The sequence below is a fragment of the Homo sapiens genome, chromosome 6 (assembly GCF_000001405.40).
Source record: "Homo sapiens chromosome 6, GRCh38.p14 Primary Assembly".
In the NCBI taxonomy this organism is placed as follows: Eukaryota; Metazoa; Chordata; class Mammalia; order Primates; family Hominidae; genus Homo; species Homo sapiens.
This window is the reverse complement of record NC_000006.12, coordinates 56,035,933-56,058,383: the sequence shown is the minus strand read 5'-3', so window position 1 is coordinate 56,058,383 and position 22,451 is coordinate 56,035,933. Positions and strand designations below refer to the sequence as shown.

General features: G+C 35.5%; 1 protein-coding gene across 14 annotated transcripts in view, besides 1 other annotated feature; it reads left to right on the top strand.

Moving 5' to 3' along the window:
* Positions 1–1,794, top strand: part of COL21A1 (collagen type XXI alpha 1 chain) — a 337,539-nt gene extending 335,745 nt beyond the window's left edge. For all 14 annotated transcript variants that reach the window (NR_134849.2, NR_134850.2, NR_134851.2 and 11 more), the window contains one exon: positions 540–1,794. Coding sequence is in view for 11 of the 14 variants with exons in the window: in NM_001318752.2 (NP_001305681.1) it covers positions 540–727 (188 nt within the window). In the remaining 3 variants the exon portion in view is untranslated. The remainder of the gene's footprint in view (positions 1–539) is intronic.
* Positions 11,499–11,793: a silencer, noted in NCBI's record as "tiled region #6371; HepG2 Repressive non-DNase unmatched - State 24:Quies". NCBI's record gives its function as "represses a minimal TATA promoter and a strong SV40 promoter by Sharpr-MPRA in HepG2 cells {active_cell/tissue: HepG2}" and the evidence as "EXISTENCE:reporter gene assay evidence [ECO:0000049][PMID:27701403]".

The following is a 22,451-nucleotide window of genomic DNA, read 5'->3' as shown; positions in this document are numbered from 1 at the left end:
CAGGCTATGTTTGACAAATTAGGGCTTTAATACCTATGAGTATTGATGATATTGATGACTATAATACTAAAGTAATAAGAATAATGCATTTAGATATGGAAACTAAAAATATGTATAATAGAAACAGTTTTTTGTTGCAAATACGGCACAAAAATGACTCAGCTTTGGCTTACGTAGGTATCACCTGTTAATTTATAATAATATTGGTAAAAGATAGGCTGAAAGGAAGAAATAAGATTGGACAATACACAAAATGGAATATTATAATGTTAGCTAAATGTTTTAATCAGTAGCATGGTTACTATGTTAATATGCTTAGCCTAGTTTTCAAAAATTACTGATAACTTTAACTTTTGGATGGTTCTTTTCAAAGCAGAAGACATGTAGAATTATCAAGAAAATGCCTCTACTATATAATTAGTGCAAATATATAAAATATTCAAGGTTTTTTTTTTCAGTTTAAGTTTCTTGCAGAATTGGCTATTTCATTATAAAAAACTAAAGTCCTCTGTTTACGTCTTGCCAATGTCCCATCTTAGGTCCAGAGGGCCCTCCTGGAATAAGCAAAGAAGGTCCTCCAGGAGACCCAGGTCTCCCTGGCAAAGATGGAGACCATGGAAAACCTGGAATCCAAGGGCAACCAGGCCCCCCAGGCATCTGCGACCCATCACTATGTTTTAGTGTAATTGCCAGAAGAGATCCGTTCAGAAAAGGACCAAACTATTAGTGTCTGATGCCTCATTCAGCAGCCTAGGCATGGTGCTTTTTCTGTGGTCTTTTGCATCTCAGGAAGATAACCAACAGTAATCCCTTGAAAAGAAACTTAAGTACCTCGGTGTTTTTATTTTTTTTTTCTTATGGAAAAAAATATAAAAGATCACATATACTGATTTTAAAGGCTCCTCAGTCATTTGGAGCCCTTGGATTAGCAGCATTAATTAAATCTCAAGGGTTTCTTGTAAAGTCCATTTATGTTAATCAAAGTTGAATATAAAAATCCACCATTGCCTGTTAGCCAGTCAGTTTTAGTCACTGTGAAATATTTCACATTCAGCCTCCATGCAGTAGAGATTTGAGTTTAATTTCATGTCCATGTGACTTTCATGTTTCCTATCTCATAGCTCATGCTACTACATAAGCCAAAACATGTATCTCATCATTGGAAGTAAGATCAGGGCTGATATTCACCTGGGATAGACAGTATTGGTGAACTACTCATTTACTACAGTGTCTCAGCCTTGATAAGGGGCAGTGGATTGCCTGTTGTTCGGTGTTGTGAATAGCACCTCTGAATAAGATTAGAGTGTTTCTTAATTCATTTCAAACTCTAAAATTAGATTAATGGTGGTGCTAAGAAAGAGTATTAATTACTTTGGGAATGGTCAAAATTAACATTAAAAACATTTTAGACAAAAAGTTTCATTGTACATTCAAAGAAAATGTAAGTTTGGAAGTACTAAAAGACTATTTTATACTTGTTGATTAATCGGAATGTTTGTTGTATGCCTTCATTTTCCATTTCACTTATATGTGTATGTCCATATATGTTAATTTTCATTGTAGCAAAGCTAATGGAAATAAAGCTAATGCTCTAGTTGAAAGAAAAGGAAAACTCCTGAAATCCTAGAATGTCTTGTTATTTTTAGCTGACTGTAAAATATTATGAACAGTCTTTGTGTATTGTGCTTAATGCTTTTGTAAGAAACAGAATTTGAAATATTTCATCCTTGTCATGCTCAAAATTTTGTTACATGCTTGTTATTCAGAGTATAATAAAGTTTTGTACAGGCCTGATTACAATGTCTTTTTTTATACCTAATTTTAACTGATTGTTGAGTATGGTATGTATATTGCATGGTCATTTATTCAATGGATATAATTTATGAAATCATTCAGCCTATTCTTAAAAAATGTGTTCACCTGAAATAAGAAATTACAAATTGAATTGGTGTGCTACACACCTGAACAGTTGAAACACTTGCTTCCTAGCACAGTCATGGCTGTTGCCCAGTGTTTAACTTTATTGTCGTGCAAATTCTATTATTTTGATGAGGACTTTGGAGGGGACTAAAATTTATGATGTTTAGTGGCTGAATGAGCATAAGGCTTGTTCTGGTGTTTTATCTCCAGTAAAGGCCCAGGTATCTGCTTAAGCCAACAAACCTATCACCCCTGCTTTAATTATGACATTTGCTTCTAAGAGCTGGTAAAGAATCAGAATAAAGCCATTTGGTATCATTGATTTATTCATCCAACAGTACTCACCACATGGATAGGTTCGGTGCCTGGGATACAATGGCAATATAGTTAGAATTTGGCCTGAGGGAACACATGTATAACGAGACACAGGTAAGTGTACAGGTGATTCCAATATATTAATTCTAAGAATGGAGAAAATGCAATTGAAATGTAAAAGATGATGTTATGGACTGCATTGTATGCCCCCGATTCATATATGGAAGCCCTTACCCCCAATGTGACTATATTTGAATATAGGGCTTTCAGGAGGTAACCAAGATAAATGAGGTCATAAGGGTGGAGTCCTAATCCCATAGAATTGGTGGCTTTATAAGAAGAGGAAGAGGTTGCTCTCCCCTACTACCCTCCCTCCCTTCATCTGCTTCATCTACCTCATGGCCTTCTAGCTCTCACATCCAGGGAAGACTATGTGAGTACATTGTGAAAGGTGACTCTCTGCAACCTGGAAAAGGGACCTCACCAGAACCCGACTATACTGGCACCCTAATTTCGAACTTCCAGCCTTCAGAACTGTATGAACAAAAATTTCTGTTGCTTAAGCCAGCAAGTCAATGATATTTTGTTATGGCATTCCAAGCAGAGTAGTGCAGATTATAGTAGGCTAGGAGGTATTGGCATAACTAAGTCATGTAAAGATAATGAAAATGAGCAAAGGGTGGAGGGTTAGAAAAAGCATGAAGAATTCCAAGAACAACAAAATCTATGGAATGTAAACTATATTTACTTTCAGTATTTCTGCTTTAAAATTTGGCATCTCAGGATGAAATATTTCCATAATTTAGCATGGCATACATTGTGTCATAGTTTTGCCTTGGAGAAATTTAAGACTAACTCATAACACGCTGATTTTCAAGAATGAATAGGTGAATAATCTTGCTCTGCAAGTACATTTTTGCAACATAACTATGTTACGTGCTCAGCACCATGTTACGTGAAAGGCCTTTTAGTGTGGTTGCTGAGAGCATGGCTTCTGTCCTGAGATTTCCTGCATCAAAATTCCTACGTTTTGTTTCTAGCTGCGAGGCTTCAGAAAATTTATTTACATCTTTGTACTTAAATTCTTTCATATGATAAGTTGAGGATATTAATAATACTTACTTCATAGTATTAAAAAGATTAAATGAGAGAAAACAAAAGAAATTCATCAGTGAAATAAAGTCATACAATTTACTAGAACTAGACAGAAAATATGGGGTTACCAAATCTTTTTTTTTTTCTTTTTTTTGAGACAGTTTCGCTCTTGTTGCCCAGGCTGGAGTGCAATAGCATGGTCTCGGCTCACTGCAACCTCTGCTTCCCAGGTTCAAGTGACTTTCCTGCCTCAGCCTCTGGAGTAGCTGGGATTACAGGGATGTGCCAACATGCCTGGCTGATTTTGTTTTTTTAGTAGAGACGGGTTTCTCCCTGTTGGTTAGGCTGGTCTTGAACTCCTGACCTCAGGTGATCTGCCCGCCTCGGCCTGCCAAAGTGCTGGGATTACAGATGTGAGCCATCATGCCCAGCCTTTTTTTTTTTTTTTTCTTTGAGATAGAATCTTGCTCTGTCACCCAGGCTGGAGTGCAGTGGCACAATCTCGGCTCACTGCAACCTCCGCTTCCCAGGTTTAAGTGATTCTCCTGCCTCAGGCTCCCGAGTAGCTGAGATTACAGACACCCAACACCATGCCCAGCTGATTTTTGTATTTTTAGTAGAGACAGGGTTTCACCATGTTGGCCTCAAGTGTTGGTCTCAAACTCCTGGCCTCAAGTGATCTGCCTGCCCCAGCCTCCCAAAGTGTTGGGATTATAGGCGTAAGCTGCCACGCCCAGCCAAGGTTACCAAATCTTGAGAGTGAAAAAATTTTAAAAGTACTAAAATCATTTTATATGTGTGTAACTGATACTGAATAAAGCTGATCTGACTCATTGGCATTCATCCTGAATGTCAATTCAGAATGAAACTCTCAGTCTTAAGGGTAAAAATCATTCTCAGTAAAGGCTGTCTTTGCATAATTTCAACGATTTTCCTCTAAAATGTAAAGTAGGGTCAATTTAGAAAAAAAAAAAAACCTTTAGGATTTATAGTCTTGTGGTACTATACTTTGTCTCTGGTGCTTAGAACTTTGCTAGGTGCTTGATTTAATTTTTGTCATGAAGAGATTTTCAACTGAAATTGAGCTGGGAGAACTCAATTGAGAACTCGTCCTTCGGTCCCCAGTAGAGGGCAGCCACACACACACACACACACACACACACACACACACACACACACACACACACACACTATGATAATCTCTTCTTCATTATATTAATCTTGTAAGTCTTATAAGTTATAACTATATATCTTTAGCCTGAACATTTTCTCATTTTTAAAAGTATGGCTAGATTTATTTTCTTACAACTTAATTATTCCAAAGAAGAAAAAAATTGTTCTCATAAGTTGAATACCTAAATCACAATTAAGCCGTTTATATTTTGATGTGTTGCCTATCTGCTTTACCTTTGCATAGTTCCATTTGTTAAAGTCCTCAGCTAGGAGGTTTGGTTAATTCTTCTGATTGATAACGTTATCGCCAAAGGCAAGGTTCAAAGCTCACTCCTGGTAGTCCTAAATTATAGATCTGGCCTATTGGCTGTGCCTCACCTTGGGGAGGCAGAAACTTGCTCTTATCATTATCTACAGATTGCAATTAATAGTCAAAGGACATGTCACCATAATCCAGGCACAATAGGTTGTATGAAATAACACAAAAGGTTAGCACCTCTGTGCCTAAAGCACTGAGAGCCTCGTCTTTGAGGACTGGGAAACAGAATGGGGAACACAGAGGGATGCCTCAGATTCAGATTCACTTCTGTAGTTTTAAGGCGAAAGACCAGAAATCAACTCATAGTTTAAATTTAGCTGCAAAGATTTATCTTTGGAATATCTTAACCAAAGTTTTATTTTGCCCCTAATAACACATTTGAAATAAGGAACATAAATGATAACCCACTGTGTTATTCCTGGGTTATGCCTTCTCAAAAGTAGGTTTTCACAGAGAAATTTTACAGATTCCAAAATTCTCATATTAGTATCTGTTTTAGCTTACTTTAAGTTCAGGGGTGCCTGTACAGGTTTGCTACATAGGTAAACTTGTGTCATGGGGGTTTGTCATACAGATTATTTCATCACCCAGGTATTAAGTCTAGTACCCATTAGTTATTTTTCCTGATCTTCTCCCTCCTCCCAACCTCCACCCTCCACCTTCCAGTAGGCCCCAGTGTGTATCGTTCCCCTCCATGTGTCTATGTGTTCTCATTATTAGGCTCCCGCTTATAAGTGAGAACATACAGTATTTGGTTTTCTGTTCCTGGGTTAGTTTGCTAAGTTTAATGGCCTCCAGCTCCATCCATCCCTGCAAAGAACATGATTTCGCTGGTGAGGTTGTGAAGAAAAACGAATGCTTATACACCGTTGGTAAGAATGTAAATTAGTTCAGTGTGGAAGACAGTATGATGATTTCTCAAAGACCTAAAACCAAAAATACTGCTAGACCTAGCAATCCCGTTACTGGGTATATACCCAAAGAAATATAAACCGTTCTATTTTAAAGTTGCACGCACACATTATGTTCATTACAGCACTATTCACAATAACAAATACATGGGATCAACCTAAATGCACATCAATGATAGACTGGATGAAGAAAATGTGGTACATATACACCATGGAATACTATGCAGCCATATTGATATCTTAACTAAAAATGACAACCTGAAATAGCTGACTGTAGGATCATTTTGAAGAAGGTAAGAACTGACATGCAGTGCAAGTGTTTTCCCATTGCATCCCCTGTTCAGTTGCTACTTCAAAATAATATTTAAAAATCAAATTTAGAAAGTGTCTATAGCTGTGATTGACATTCAAAGAATCATTAATTATGAGATACCTTATTTTGGGGAAACAAAGGTAACAAGAATCCTGTGGCATGTGATCTTGGATAAACTTGATAACTTCTCTGAATTTGTTTTTTTTAGTAAAGCAAGGGTTTAAATGTACACTGGCTGTACATTAGAAGCACCTAGGGAGCTTTAAAAGAATACCCTTGCTTGTGCCCCACCCAGAGGTTCTAGTGTAATTGGATTGGCTTCCAGGTGGGTTAACAGTTTGTATAAAGGCCTTGAGCCTGAGAACGTAGCTCAATGGGAGGGAAAGTAATTCTACATTTTGGGATTTCAGGAAACTGATGGTGGACAGAGGTAAAAGATAAGTGTAGAGATGCTGGGAGTAGGAGAAGGGATGAAGAGGGAAGGAAGAGATATCAAATATCTTGCAAAATTTTAAGGAGGAAGTAGCATGAAGAGATTTGCATTTGAAATAGATCACTCTGGTCGCAGAAAAAATACAGTAGTCCCCCCTTATTTGAGTGGGTTATGTTTCAAGACCCCCGGGGGTGCCTGAAACCACAGACAGCACTAAATCCTATATACACTGTTGTTTTCCTGTAAGTACATACCTATGATAAAATTTAATTTATAAATTAGTCACAGTAAGAGATTAACAACAATAGCCTATAATAAAATAGAACACTTATAACAATATACTCTAATAAAAGTTATGTGACTGTGGTCTCTCTCTTACAAACACACACACACATAATATTTTATTGCATGTAAAATTTTCCATCCAAGGCTGGTGGTAGGCAACTGAAACTTTGACAATTGAAACTGCATGTAAGGGGGTGACTACTGCTGATGAAACCAAGCAAGAATGCAAGGGGAGAAGCTAATTAAAAGTCATTTCAGTGGCACTGAGGATGATGGTGAAAATAAGAGGAGTATGAGACAGAAGCAGAGGGTTTACAAAAAAAAAAAGACCATCAATTTATTAGTTCTACTATAATCATGGTGAACTTCCAGAATGTACACACAGCCCCCCCAGTGACTTGAGGAAGTTGGAGGCTTACCATTAAATAGTGTGAAATAAATGCCTGAACAAAATGTTTTAGGCTTTGGATCTTGTTGTCGGACATAGAATAAGCTTGTTTGCAGGGATAAAGGCCTCATCTTAGGGGCCTCTCTTGAAATGTTGGCAGGGTCAGAGTGACGACTCTGGTCTGAAATGTGAATGCAGAAATATTCCTTTCAACTTCAACTGGGACAAAATGCACCAGTCTGTTTTTTTCTCTACCTCTGATAGTGACCAGAAGTCTCCACCCGCAAGTCTTATTCACAACAAGGTTTTACTGATTACAACAGTGAAATTTATCTGTTTCTCTCTGATGCTTAAGGATTCAGGAGAATATTATCTTGCTGGTGCTGGGATCCTTTTGGAACATCTAATTGTTAAAGTGCAGTGGCATATGTCAAAACCACAGGTGTCAGAATGTGATGAATGAGCTTTGTTTTTATGAAGTGACACTACAGTAAAATGAACTATATTTTATGAGGAAATGAAAGTATATGTAATGGGTGTCATTTTGGATGGAAATTCTCTGTTAATCCAATTAGCTGTTTAAGATAAAAGGATACACTTTAGTCTCCCCAGATCATGTGCAGTTCCTCTAAATTCTAGGAAGAAACACCAGAGCCCTTCAACCAGAATCAGTAAGTAGAAGCTTTTAGAGACATATCCTAGCAATTGTTTAGTGGTTGCTTGGAAGAATGCAATATCTAATTTAGATGTGATTTTCCTTGCCTTAAGGATGAAGCAGTGAGATTAAAGGAGTTGTGGAGTAGAGGAGTAAATGAGGATCTCTGTGTGTGGGTTGGATTTAGAGGAAAATCTGTTTGAAACTGATTTTTCCATCTGTGACCTCTCCCAGGGATTTTGGAGCAACAAACTTGAATTTGTAACTTTAATAATGCTTTTATTTATCTTGGAATTGACTGTATAAAGTATGTGCATTTTATTCATTTTAGATATTAAAGAACCTCACGTGCAGATTTTTCATGGTTACATAGGAATTAAAGAGAACAGCAAGGATTCAAATCTAAGTCTTGTCTCCAAAGATAGGGTCGACTTCTTTCATACTGTCTTCTCCTATGAGAACTGAAAACGAAGTGATATAAGCCCCTTGTATCCCTGGTTTAATTTAAGCGGTTTTCACCTGCTTCTCCTCATGGTGAATTTAGTGATTAAAAAAATTCTTAAAAAAGCTCTGAGCTCACCTTAAGGATTATTAAAAAGGGGAGAAACTTGTGCAACAGTGTCCAACTCATTTGTCAGTCATTTGTGGTCACTCTATAAGGCTCTTACTGGGAATGTCTTTGTCTGGCAATAGCTAAAACAAAAATATTTCTAGATCCAGAGATTAAGAAATACACTTAATAACTCATCCTAAATGAGAAGTCAAGAAGTGATAGAAACTAAGAAAATCAGAAGTATTAGATGTAATTACAGAAATGCTGTCAGAAATGTATTGTCTTAAGGTTCATTAAACTTTGGAATTAGAAAGAATTCACTGGACAATTGAGCTTTGAGGATTTCTCAGTGCTTTGAAAAAGGAAAGGACTGTTTCCTTCACAATTGAGGGGCAAAAAGGAGAGGGGGAAGCTTGTTTGGTATGAAGTGGCTCACTGGAAAGAGAACATCCTCAAGTTTAACTTGGAGAGGCTTAACCCTAGTCAATAAATAGACTTCAGATAGTATTTAGAAAGGAATGAGTGGGAACATAGAAGAGTAGTGATTGGTGTTTGTATGGTTTTCATGGAGAAAAACCATGGAGAGTACATTTTCATGACAGCAGTGAACTTACATGTATTCAAAGATGAATTTCCTTATGCTTACATAATGAAAGACTGAAATACAGTCGTATTTCCCCATGTTTTATTTCTATAATTATGAGTCCAGGGAAACAAAGGGCCTAGTTAAAAAAAAAAATTGAGAGAATAGTGGAGAGTAAGGAGCAGGGTGTAATGGCTGAAGATGGCTTTTATCACAGATCTTGGGAGTTAACTTTTCATTTTTAGATGCAAAGTTTTAAGGTTAATTAATATTTTGTTTCTACCAAAGAGTAATGTGGAAGAAACAGAAAATATTTGGTTAAAGATGGTGGTCGCTGTGGATAAAAAGAAAGAATGTTAAGAACCAAGCAAACATTTTCTAAAATTTTTCTTTAAAAGTTTAGAAACATCTAAAATTATTTCCCATTTACCTGAAGGAGGATTATCAGGATGCCTGTAATCCTAGGATGGTGCTGAGTTCTTTTGATAATAACATATTTAATTCCACTTAAGACAACCTACTTTTCAGCTTCTCTAAATTTAAGTGAAAGCAGCTATTCTGGCTTTCCTTTAACTGACAAGGACTCTCTCACACCTTGTGCAGACTTGGGAAGTGGGGAAGATCTCATTATAGGAATAAGTGGCACCCACGTAGGAAAAAGAGGGAAAAAGAGAGCTAGCGCTGACTAGTTTTACCCCACACCATCCCATGATTCTCTTGTTCATTTTAAGGCGAACTAGTAAAATTTTAGAGGCATAAGCTCACATAGGAAATGATCGCTATCTCCAATAACACCCAGAGAGTAAAAGAGATGAATGTTATTGCCTGTCCCCATGAAATGTTAATGGGCCCTTGCAGGTTTTAAGAGTCCTAAGAGCCTGGAGGAAAGACATTAGTGCTGAGCTCCCTAAAGGAGAAAGTTACATTAGGAAGCCACAGCAGAGACACTCACAACAGCTATTGATTCAGTGATTTCAAAAACATTCCACCCTGAGTCTTCACAGCTTCCTTAGGAGTAGGTAATGTTTTCATTTCATAAAGGAAAACACTGAGCTTCACGCTAATAAGCAGTGACAAATCTAGAATGCAAACTCAGATCTGCCAGGCTCCAAAGCTCCTGTTTTCAGTTTTACTATAACTAAAGCATGTTCTCTCTATTGTTCCTGTTTCAATACAATACTTAGTTGGCAATTGGAGGCCAATTAATTATTCCATCACTGTGTTGGGCAGAATTTTTCACTGCACTGAATTTTTTCTACCTTTTGGAATGTTATTTGCAGGTTTCATTCCGAGTGACTATTCCAGGTCCTTTTTTGGACCTCTCCCAAGTGTTCTTACTAATATCCTATATAAGGCCCCATGATAACATTTTTTGTTTTTAATCCTATATTGCAATTGTTCTTTGTAATTGCAATTGTCCCTATGAGACAGTGAGCTTGTTAAAGGCAAACCTCATGCAGTGTTTAAAAATATGTTCTGAAGTACACCTTTTGCCAAAGTTGATTTGAAATTCTTTTTGAACCATATTTATTAGTATAAAGATCACATAAAGGAGAATTATGATGTGGCCTGTAGTGCTAGGATTTGGGTGAATTAATAGAGTAAAATTCTTAGATGAGTAGCTGGAACATAATAAGTACCTGATAATTGTTAGTTATTATTATTACAACTTTCTGATGATTGGCTTATTTTATTAGGTTCCCCCAGTAATGTGAAGAACACAAAATGGGAACCAGAAGTTCTTTAATATCCCAGGTTTGGGACAGACCTTTTAACATTTCCTACCTGTGCGGCCTTGAAATTTGTTGCGATAAGCCTCAGTATTTGAAAGGGAGTCGCTGTGATAAACCAAATTAGTTGTGATAAGCCTCATCTTTGAAAGGGAATAGCAATAATATTTCAGGATTGTTTCCAAATATGATAATTAAAAATACATAACAATTGTTCAACACACAGTAGGCTGTTGTTATATGATTACCAGTGGAGACAGCAGTTTTACATTGGCCTCTATATTGTCCTTTGTGGCTAATTGCATACATATTGAAACAAATTTGAGCCACACAGACAATTATCAGGTCTCCTCTCTTCGATCCTAAACGTCTCTCTAGTCCTCTGTATAACAGAATTAATGCAGTCTCTTCACAGAATGTCCTACCATCAGTTAACTGTGAATGTGTAAAACAGAATTCGATATTTTCACCCTTGCTACTTAAATGCTGTTGTCACTGTTGGTGGCACCAGTATTACCCTGGGTTAGCCAGGGAACTGCTTTCTTTTTTTTTTTTTTTTTTTTTTTTTTTTTGAGATGGAGTTTCACTCTCGTTTCCCAGGCTGGAGTGCAGTGGCGTGATCTTGGCTCAACGCAACCTCCACCTCCCAGATTCAAGTGATTCTCCTGCCTCAGCCTCCCGAGTAGCTGGAATTGCAGATGTGCACCACCACACCCAGTGTATTTGTAAAATACAAATTTGTATTTGTAAAAATACAAAAAAAAAATTTGTGTTTTTAGTAGAGACGGGTTTTCACCATGCTGGCCAGGCTGGTCTCAAACTCCTGACCTCAGGGGATCCACTCGCCTCAGGCTCCCAAAGTTCTGGGATTACAGGCATGAGCCACCGTGCCCAGCCCACTGCTTTCTTTATACAGTGACCGAACAGGCTGCCGCCGTCTAGCTGTGGCTTCTGTGGTCACTGTTGGCAGGGCAACAACTTGTTGCTCTGTTCCTCTGCTTCCTGAAATATGTGATAACTTTTTTTCCTGAATAAATCTATTCAACTTGATTAGGATTGTTTAGAATCAAGCCTCACCGTTGCTGAGAATTGCAGCTAACTGAGAATTTTTAGGACATTTTGGGGTACACTTTGTAAGTTACTACTCCTATTTCATGTACTCACTCATTAACTCATTAAATAACTCCATAGAGAAAAATAAAAGTATTTGCTTTCTTCTGTGATTTCGGAAAAAAAAAAGATTTGTATTATTTCAATGAAACTTACTACATCTATGTAGAAAGGATGTGTTCAAACTTTTTTCCATTTTAAAATTTGCGCAAAACAATAAGCAATGTGGTGTCCCTTTTGTTAACACTGCAAAACCCTATATTGCTTTATAGGAAATGGGAAAATAAGGCTTTAAATTTTAAGCACTTGGGCTAATTTATGCCCTAAAAACACTGAACATTAGATAGAAAATTAGTCAGTTTGGGGAAAAAGTGGGGAAGTGGGAAACAGGAAAAAAAGACACATATGTTGCTAGGGAAAATTATAATTCACAGTTTCATTTTTTTCTGATGTTCCAGTAATTTAATATTGGTGCTCTAAAGATATGGCCATGTTATCTAATTGTCAGTGGAATAATGTGATTTTCTGGCACCAAATTCTGTATTCCACAAGAGTAACTGCTAATAAAATTAAAAGAGTTTGTTCAATATTAGAGATTCTGGTCTTTTGGCATGGAAATTAAAGAAAAGCATTCAACCACATAACTTTTTATGCCTAGTATTTATCTAATTTCTACATTGGAAATTGGCAAAGAAACATTCTTTCCCAAATATGTATTTATATGAAAATCTGTCTAAATGCCTATGTAATGAAATTTGTACATGATGTTACTCAGAGGAAAGAAAATTCTGAGGACAAAAATAATTGCAATGGTTTTGTAGTTTTGATTACACAAAAAACACTTCAAATAAAAATAGACAAATCCAAATAAATCAAATAATTATTCCACCTCCTCATTTTACAATTTTGAAAGAGACTGAAATTGACCTATATTCTATTTTTTCTGCGTCTTGCCTTTCTCTTTTTTCTCCTTTCATTCTTTTTGCTTATAAAAAGCTTCAAATAGAAACTGAAACTTAATTTTGTTTACTGTGTATATTTAATAAATATAATCAGTAACTTAAAAATAAATTTTATTGAAGTATAAAGTTTACATACAATAAAATGCATCCATTTTTAAGTCTGTATTTTGATGGGGTTTGACAAACATACGCACCCATGAAACCATCACCACAATTAAGATATAGAACATTTCCATCACCCTTAAAAAGTTTCCTTGTGCCTTTCCCCAGGTAATTTATCCCTCCTCCAGGTCCAGGCAATCCCTGCTCTGCTTTCTATCACATAGATGATAATTTTCTTTTCTAGAGTTACATAAAAATGGAATCATCCTTTATGTAATCTTTTGTTTCTTGGCATCCTTCATTCATTATAATGTTTTTGAGATTCATCTATGATGTGGTATCAATAGTTTATTCCTGTTTTGTTACTTGGTAGTATTCCTTTGTATGACTGTATTTTTGATTATTTATTCACCTGTTTATGGACAACTGGGTTATGTCCAGTGTGGGGCTACTCTGAATAACACTGTTATGAACATTCATTTACAAGTCTTTGTGTGGAAATATGTTTTTATTCTTCTTAAGTGGAGTTATTGGGATATATTGTAAGTATATTCTAAACTTTGTCAGCAACTGTATTTTCTGGATACAAGTCCTTTGTTACATATTGCAAATTTTTTTTCGTGTCTGTGGCTTGCATTTTTATTTTCTTAATGTAGTCCATCAAAGAGTAGAAGTTATAAGATTTTTATAAAGTACAATTTTATCAATTTTTCTTTTATAATTTGTACTTTTTTATGTTCTATTTAAGAAATCTTTACCTATCCAGAGATTGCAAATATTACTTACTTTGTTTTCTGCTAGAATAGCACTGTCCAATGGAAGCTTATCCAGTGGAATTTTGATTGGGATTGTAATAAATATATTGGTCATTTTAAGGAGAATTGACATTTTAAAAATATTTAGTCTTTCCTTCCCTGAGCATATCTCTTTATTTACTTATCTCTCCATTTTATTTTTCTCAGAAACGTTTTATAATTTTCATTGTATAGGTTTGTGCACATTATTTAACAAAATTTATCTGTAAATCATGTTTGTGGATGCCATTATAAATGCCATGTTTTAGACATCGTTTTCCATTTGTTCTTTGCTAGTTTATCAAAATACTGTTGATCTTTTGTATATTGACTTTTATCCTTGGACCTTGCTAATAAATGCACTTGTTATTACTAGTTCAAGTAGCTTTTTGTAGAATTTCAAAGAATCAGATAGATATTAGTTATATAAATTTTCTACATTTCCCCCATTTTCTCTTTCATTACTTTCAGCTCTTACATTTATTGCTTTACTCTCTGACTTACTTTGGATTTAATTTGCTCTTTTATTCTAGCTGCTTAAGGTAGATATTGTTTAATTGAATTTCTTTAGATCTTTCTTATTTTAAGAAATAAGAAAATCAATTTTACTGTAAGCATCATTTTAGTGAAATTTTAAAATCTTGATATACTGCTTTTTTATTTTCATGAAGCTCAAAATATTTTCTAATTCCTCTTGTGATTCCTTCTTTGACAGATGGTGCCTTAGTCAGTTTCCTGTTGCTTATAACAGAATATGTGAAACTGGGAAATTTATAAAGAAAAAGAATTTATTTCTCATAGTGGAGGCTGGAAAGTCCAAGGTTGAGGGGCACGTCTGGTGAGGGCATTCTTTCTGGTGGGACCTGTGCACAGACCCGAGGCGGTACAGGGTATCACATGGCAAGAGGGCTGAGAGTGCTAACGTGGTTGCTCAGGTTTTTATTTTTCTCCCTATGAAGCCACCAGTACTCCCATGTAGCCCATTAATTCATTAACTTGTTAATTCTTTAGTCCATGAATAGATTAATCCATTCATGAGAGCAGAGCCTTCATCATCCAGTCACCTCTTAAAGTCCCCACCTTTCAAAGCTGCCACATTGGGCATTAAGTTCCCAATACATGATATTTGAGGGACACATACCAACCATAACAGATGGTTATTTAAAACTGTGATATTTGATTTTCACATATTTGGATATGTTTTAGATGTCCTTGTGTTATTGATTTCTAATTTAATTTTGTTGTCAGAAAACAAACTCTATCAATTCTTTTAAATTTAATGAGACATTTTATGAAGCAGAAAATGGTCTGCCTTGGAAATACATCATTTGCACTTGAAAATAATGGGTATTCTGCTGTCATCAGATTGAGAGTTCTATAAATAAAGCCATATTGGCTAATAGTATTGTTCATACTTTCTCCATTCTTAATAATCTTGTATCTACTTGTTCTCTCAGTTCCTGAGACAGGAGTATACAGATCTCCTGTAATTGTGGATTTGTGTTTCCTTTTAATTCTGTCAGTTTTTTGCTTCCTGCATTTTTTAGCTCTCTTACAGTATGCACACACATTTAGGAATGTTATGTCTTCTTGATGAATTGACCTATTTTCATTATAAATGCCCCCTTTTTATCCCTGATAAAGTCCTTCTTCTGGAGTATACTATCTGACATTAATATAGACACCTCAGCATTCTTTTGAAAAGCGTTTGCATAGTAATAGTTTTTTTCATCCTTTGACTTTATCTTATCTGTATCTTTATATCCAGAATATATTTCTTGTAGGCAGTCATTGGATCTTTCTTTTAATCCAGTCTGGTAATTTCTGTTTTTACTTGGAGTATTTAGATCAGGAGTCAGGAAACCTTTTCTGCAAAGAGCCAGATAGTAAACAGCTTAAGCCTTGCAGGCCATATGGTCTCTCCTTGAATCTACTCAGCTTTAACATTGTAGTGTGAAAGCAGTCATAGGCAATGGGTAAACAAACAAGGATGGCTGTGTTCCAACAAAACATTATTTACAAAAACACTTGGCAGGCTGGATTTGTCCCATAGGTTGAAGCTTACCAACCAGGGTTGGACCACTTAAATTAATTAATTTTTAATATGGTTAGGTGTATAGCTATCATCTTTCTATTTTTTTGTTTCATCTGGTCTTTATTTCTTTTTCCCCTTACTTGTGCCTTCTGATGTGATGAGTATATTTTAGTATTCCTTTTTATCACCATTATTGGATTATTAGCTACACTTATGCATTTTATTTTTGTAGCAGTATCTCTAGGGTTTGTAGCATACATTTTTTAATTTAATATAGTCTACATTAAAATAATATTATGCCATTTACAATATAATGAGTATACTTTCTTTTCCCTGCTCATCCTACATGCTATTGACATACATTTTGCTTCTACCTGTTCTATAAATCCCACAGTACATTTTTATTATTTTTGCTTTATATGGTCAATATTATTTTAAATAACCTAAAAATGAGAAAGAGTATTTACCCTTCTATTTGCTACTTCTGGAACTCTTCATTCTGTTGCATAGATTCAAATTTCCAACTGCTATCATTTTCTTTCTCTCAGGAGAGCTTCCTTTAACATTTGTGGTAGTGCAGGTCTGCTGGTGATACTATTTTGGCTTGCATATTTATGGAAAGAAGTCCGCAGTTATTTCTATCTTTGATCTTTTGTTTATAAGGTGTCTCTTTTCTGACAGCTTTCAAGAGCATGCCTTTATCAATCGTTTCAAGAAATTTTATTATGCTGCTTGTTAGTCTACACCCATGTGTGAGTGCATGCATTTTATGTTTATCTTCCACGGGATTTGTAGAGATTCTTGGATTTGTGATTTTATAGTTTTCATTAAATTTGGATGATTTTTCACCTTTACTTCTTCAATTATCTCTCCCTTGTTGACTCCAATTTGGCATATGTTAGACCAAGTAATCTTGTTCTGCTAATCATGATGCTCAGCATTTTTTTTTCCTCCCTCTATGCTTCACTTTGGATAGATCCTATTATTAAGTTTTCAAGTTTACTGTTTTTTTTTCTGAAATGTCTAATCCACTGGTATTTCCATCTAATAAATTTTTATTTCAATATTGTATTTTTCTGTATTTTTCATCTCTAGGAATTGTATTTTTTATATCCTTTCTTTTGATCTGCTTTAGATACATGCTTCCCTTTATATAGTTGAACATAGTCACAACATCTATTTTAATATGCTTGAATAGTAAACTCATAACCTATGTCATTTCTGTTTCATTGCTTTATTGAGCGACTCTCTTGTTTCTCAGAGACGCAAAGGGGTTCAGAATGAGGGGGGTCATTCTCCCTGACTTTTGCAGAACCCTCAATGCCTTAGCATATTTGTGACTGGGTTTGTTAATGGTATTGTGAGACTTTAGCCTTGGCACAGACATTGGTGTGCTCATGATGTCACACTCAGAAATGGGAATGACCAGAACTGATCAAGTAGATTTGTGGACATCAGATAGTTTGTGCCCCAAGGGAACATGAGCAAAAGTGGAAGAATATATGAATGCCAGATATCGTCTATAACTGGCAGGCTAATTATGACTCCTATGAGCATTACCAGAAACATTTGTAATATGTGAAAAGTTCTGAAAATATAGGAAGAGGCAAAAACACAAACTTTGGTTTCTTGGCATTGCAACTTTGTATCCACAGATAAGTATTTGGAACATGTACAATTTTTAAGAAGGAATGTGGCAGACACTCTTGATTTCCTCCCCCAAAGACATTCTATTTCATTCCTTTCTAAGACAGCTGCTAGTTTGTTCAGGCAGCAATGCATTTAAGCCAAAAGGAGAAATGTTTTGGATGAGAAGTAGATCACTGCAGTCCTAATCCATTTTGCTATCTCTGAAAAACTCCTGGGAGTCTCTGATCAAAATTTTCTGCTCTGAAAAGAATGCAGCACGGGGGAACTCTTCTTGCTCCTTCCTTTTCTTTCTGCTATAATTTTGTCATATGGGGCTACAATGCCTGGATCTGCTGTTTTACGTACACTAGGGGAAAGTGTTTCTGACACATTGAGGATGGAAGTTTAGGAAGATAGAACCGTAAACATATTATTGAGCTACTAAACCATCTCTAGGACTTTCTACCGCTAAACTTCTTGTTAACTCAATGGCAGATGTCCTTTTAAAAGGTTTTAAGCCACTGTTAGTTTATATTACTTATATTCAAATGTGGGCTAAATGATACTGATACAACTTGTGGGAAGGAGTTTCAAGACTTATCATGAGTCATCTTTCTGATGAAACTTCCACTGCTATAACCTTGTTTCTAAATCAGTGGGTAAATTATGCATACAGAAAATTGGCTCTACAATATACAGTCTAACTGCAGCTGAGAAAAATGTATTTTCAAGTTTCGCTTGCTGTTAGGTATAATGATACTAGTTTACCATTTCCCAAAGAGTATTCCATGAAATGCTAATTTTAAACAAGGCATATCATATGAACTATATTAGAGAAATGGAAGGAAAACCAAAGCATGTTTTTGAACAGCAGATCTTAGAGGCATGAATATGCCCATATACATTGAGAAACTCTAAAACAAAGATAGATGTATATTTCCAAAACTTACTTGAGTGGTGAATCTTTTATTCTTAAAGATTTTACTAGTGTAATATTCTTCAGAAACAGTAGTGTTCTTGAGGAACACTAATTAATGCAACTTTTGTATATTTCTTTTTTTGTTAAGACAAAGAAAAGCCTATGTTCTATATCATCTTTACCTCATGAATAATGTATTTGTTCATCCTGTATACCCACCTTTTAAAAAAATGATGATATTCTTTTTTATTTAAAATAGGGAAAAAACTCAAACTCATGTATAGTAATTTGATTTTGGAAGCATAAAAAGTAGGTATTAGAAAAAAATCCAGTAGCAAGCTTACATACAGTTTAAAGATATTATTGAATATTTGGCAAACACAGTTGTTATTAAATGAAACTTATAGCAAAGCAACAATAAAAAAGCAATTAAAATATTGTTTAAATGACTAAACAAATACATTCATAAGAAAGAGAAAGGTGCTCACAATGCATAGGGCTACTGCCATCTTAAATAAACAAATATGTGTTCAAGAGATTGTGTAAGGATGATGAGAACTTTCCTTACATATATAAAAATGTGAAATCTGATACTAAACCTCAGTATGTCTCTTTGATGATCATGTTTGTAAAATGGGCAGTTAGAATTAAGAAAGAAAAAAGAGACTCAATTTATCCTTTGTGTCTGATTTTTTGAAAGATATGAAGGAAAACTCTGAAATTTTCTTATGCAATGAACCCTGGATTTGTTGTAAAAGCAGGTGCCAGCCCCCTACCAAATTAGCCAGTCTTGGCATATGAACATTTAAATGTCCTCCTTTAAATTTGCATTCTATGCCAGCTCAGCTTCTAATTCAGCTTCCCTGAATCACAGCCTAGCTATACTCCGATAGTATCTGTGTCTACTTCCAGCAAAGCTTAGCTTCTGTGGTTTTAAGCTGGATGAAAGCAAATACAGTACCATGTTACATAGCAAGTTATAAACTTATAGGATTCATTATCCCACATGATGGTGCATAAACAAAATTGGAGAGAAAGCTTTGAGGGACTTTAAGTTCAGAATAAGTTGTGTATTTAGTCCGTTCTCACAATGCTATGAAGAAATACCTAACACTAGGTAATTTATAAAGAAAAGAGGTTTAATTGGCTCATGGTTCTGCAGTCTGTACCTGAAGCATGGTGACGTCAGCTTCTGGGGAGGCCTCCGGGAACTTAGAGTCATGGTGGAAGGTGAAGTGGGAGTGAGCCATCGCATATGGGGGAAGCAGGAGCAAGAAATAGAGAGGGGAGGTGCTACACGCTTTTAAATAACCAGGTCTTGTGAGAACTCACTCACCATATAGTACCAAGGCGGGATGGTGCTAAATCCTTCATGAGAACTCCACCCCCATAATCCAGTTCCCTCCTATCAAGCCCTACCTCCAATACTGGGGATTGCAATTCAACATGAGATTTGGGTGGGGACACAAATCCAAACCATATCAAGTTGTAAAGAGATACTACAATATTCAGATACAATCATCTCCCATAGTGTCCTTGAGGACCACTTCTGAGACAACTGTAGAAAAGCCAACTGTTTCCTGACAACTATTAAAAAAGTAGAGGAGTAGACAAATAAATGAGGGAGTAGGGAGAGGTGGAGAGAGAGAAAGAGAGAGAGAGAAAGAGAAAGAGAATTAATATGTTGATCATGAGAAAAAGGGGAAGAGAGTAACATATATACAAGAGTACTTTCAAAAGTTGAGTGAAGTCCCATACTCTTTGCGGACTTCTGTAGAGAGTACAGGAGTTGGCTGAACTTTGAAATGAGGACAATGGGTGTCTCTAATGTTGCTGTAAGCACCACAACACTGTATTTCAATCTGTGTGTGGAGAGAGTGGTGAAATCCTCTTGGAGGTGGCTATGACTGGAAAGAATGACCTTAACCCATTGTAGAAGGCCACAGCTCCCTCAATGTTTATAGCCACCAAACACATCATGTATTGAAAACACATCATGTAGAACTTTAGATACAATTGTTTGAGTTTGAAATTAAGTGTGTATGTCTATAGCTTTTGCAAAGAAAGGAAGGAAAGGAAAATAAGAAGTAGGTTATAAAACACTTGTATTTCTTAAAACAGCCTGTTAAAGCAATGGTATGCTTGGAAGAAAAATGTTATTGGTATCATTACAGAAATCTCAGTTTAGAAAGTTCACAAATTTGTGAACTAAATAAGCAACTATTTTTATCTCATTTTACAGAAGGATGCAGAGGCATAGAATCATTGACTTTCCTAATGTTAAGTACCCAGTTAGTAGTAGAAAATATGCTGTAAATTTTATCTCCTAATTCCCAGTGCAATATATTTTCTTGTCCTCTACTGCCTCACTCTGCTCATATCAAAATAGCTCTTAAAAATTCTAGTGAAATCTATGAAGTCACTGGAGTTCAACTTAAGATTAATAAACAACGTAGTTTTGCTAGCCTTTGAACAGGTACAGCACATATTACAGACCCTGCATTTGAACAATAAGAATTTAACATATTTATTTTAATAGACTGGTATGCCTGTTGAATTCTTGAAGTAAACATTTTTTCCAATTGTGAACTTCATTATATAATTTTTTAAAATATCAGGATTAGAGCACAGTTGATTTTTTTAATTGATATATTTTAGACAATGTAGCACATTTGTATGAACTTTGAAGCTGTTCACTCAGGGGATTACAAGTATTTTTTTTTACTTGGATTTTCAAGATATGAGAGTCTTGGCACAGCTTCTTCAGCTCTGTCTTCCAATAAACAGTCTGAATAACCATGACATTGAAGGAAGATCATATTTGGAACTAATTTTACTTTAGCTACTGCTTTTCAGAACATGCATTTCCAATTCCTCTGAAATGTATATAATTCCTCTGGTCTTTGAAACAAAATTAAAAGATACTATAAATAGACTTGAAGGTTAGAATAAAAAGTAAAAAGTTAATTCTTTATCACTTAAAAAAAAAAACCTTGTTTGGACCTTTATTCAAACATACCAGCTGTAACAAGATATTTTTGGGACAGCTGGCAAATCTGAATATGAGCTGATGTTGTAAGGTACGGTTAATTTGTTAAATTTGATGACAGCATGATGTGTGTGTTTCAGAAAATTACAGATTTAAAGGTGTAGACTGAAGTATTTATGATAATAAGATTGTAACAATATTAATAATTATTAATGTTTGGATGATAGATGAGGAAGTCTTTATATTATTATTTCTAACTTTGTGTATGTTTGAAAATATCTAAATACAAAACTTTAAAAAAATAAAAAGCAATGAATGGGGGTGGCAGATGGGATGTGTAAAAGATGTTGTAAGACTAAATAGGGATATTAGAGATGGCTTCACTAAAAAGATGACTTTACAGCAAAGATTTGAAGTACATATAAGAGAGAGCTATGTGGATCTCTGTGGAAGAACATTCCAAGCAAAAGTAGAAGCTAATGCAGTGCTGTGAGGTGTAAGTATAACTGCCCTGTTCAAAAGATACGAAGACTGACCACTGGGAAGAATAAGAAATAGGTAAAATAGTGGTAAAATAGTAGGAGGCAGTCAGAGAGTTAACATGGATGGGTAGGGAGGAGAGGGAATGCATTCAGAACCATATCTGACAATAAATTTATATCCAAAATACATAAAGAATAGCATACCTCCAAGCCAGAAAGAGAAACAGGCAACCCAATAGAAAAATGGGCAAAATACTTGAAAAAGTACTTCATAGAAATAAGATGAATGGCCAGTAACAACATGAAACTGTGCTCTAGTTCATTAGATACTAGAGAAATACAAATTAAAACTACAATGCTATACCCCTACATTTCACAGAAAGGTTAAAATTTTAAAGGCAAGCAATACTGGGTATTAGAGAAGAAACAGAATTAGTGTGTAAGCTGGTACAAACTGCAGTATCTACTAAAATTAAAAATATGCGTATCTTATAAGCCCGCAAGTAATATCTAGGTATATAGCCAAAAGAAAAGCATGTATGTCAATGATAGACTGGATAAAGAAAAGGTGGTACATACACACCATGGAAAACTATGTAGCCATAAAAAGGAATGAGATTATGTCCTTTGCAGGGACATGGATGGAATTGGAAGCTGTTATCCTCAGCAAACTAATGCAAGAACAGAAAACGAAACACCACACATACCGACCTGTCCACTGATTATTTGTGCACTTTCCTATATTTCCTATACTAC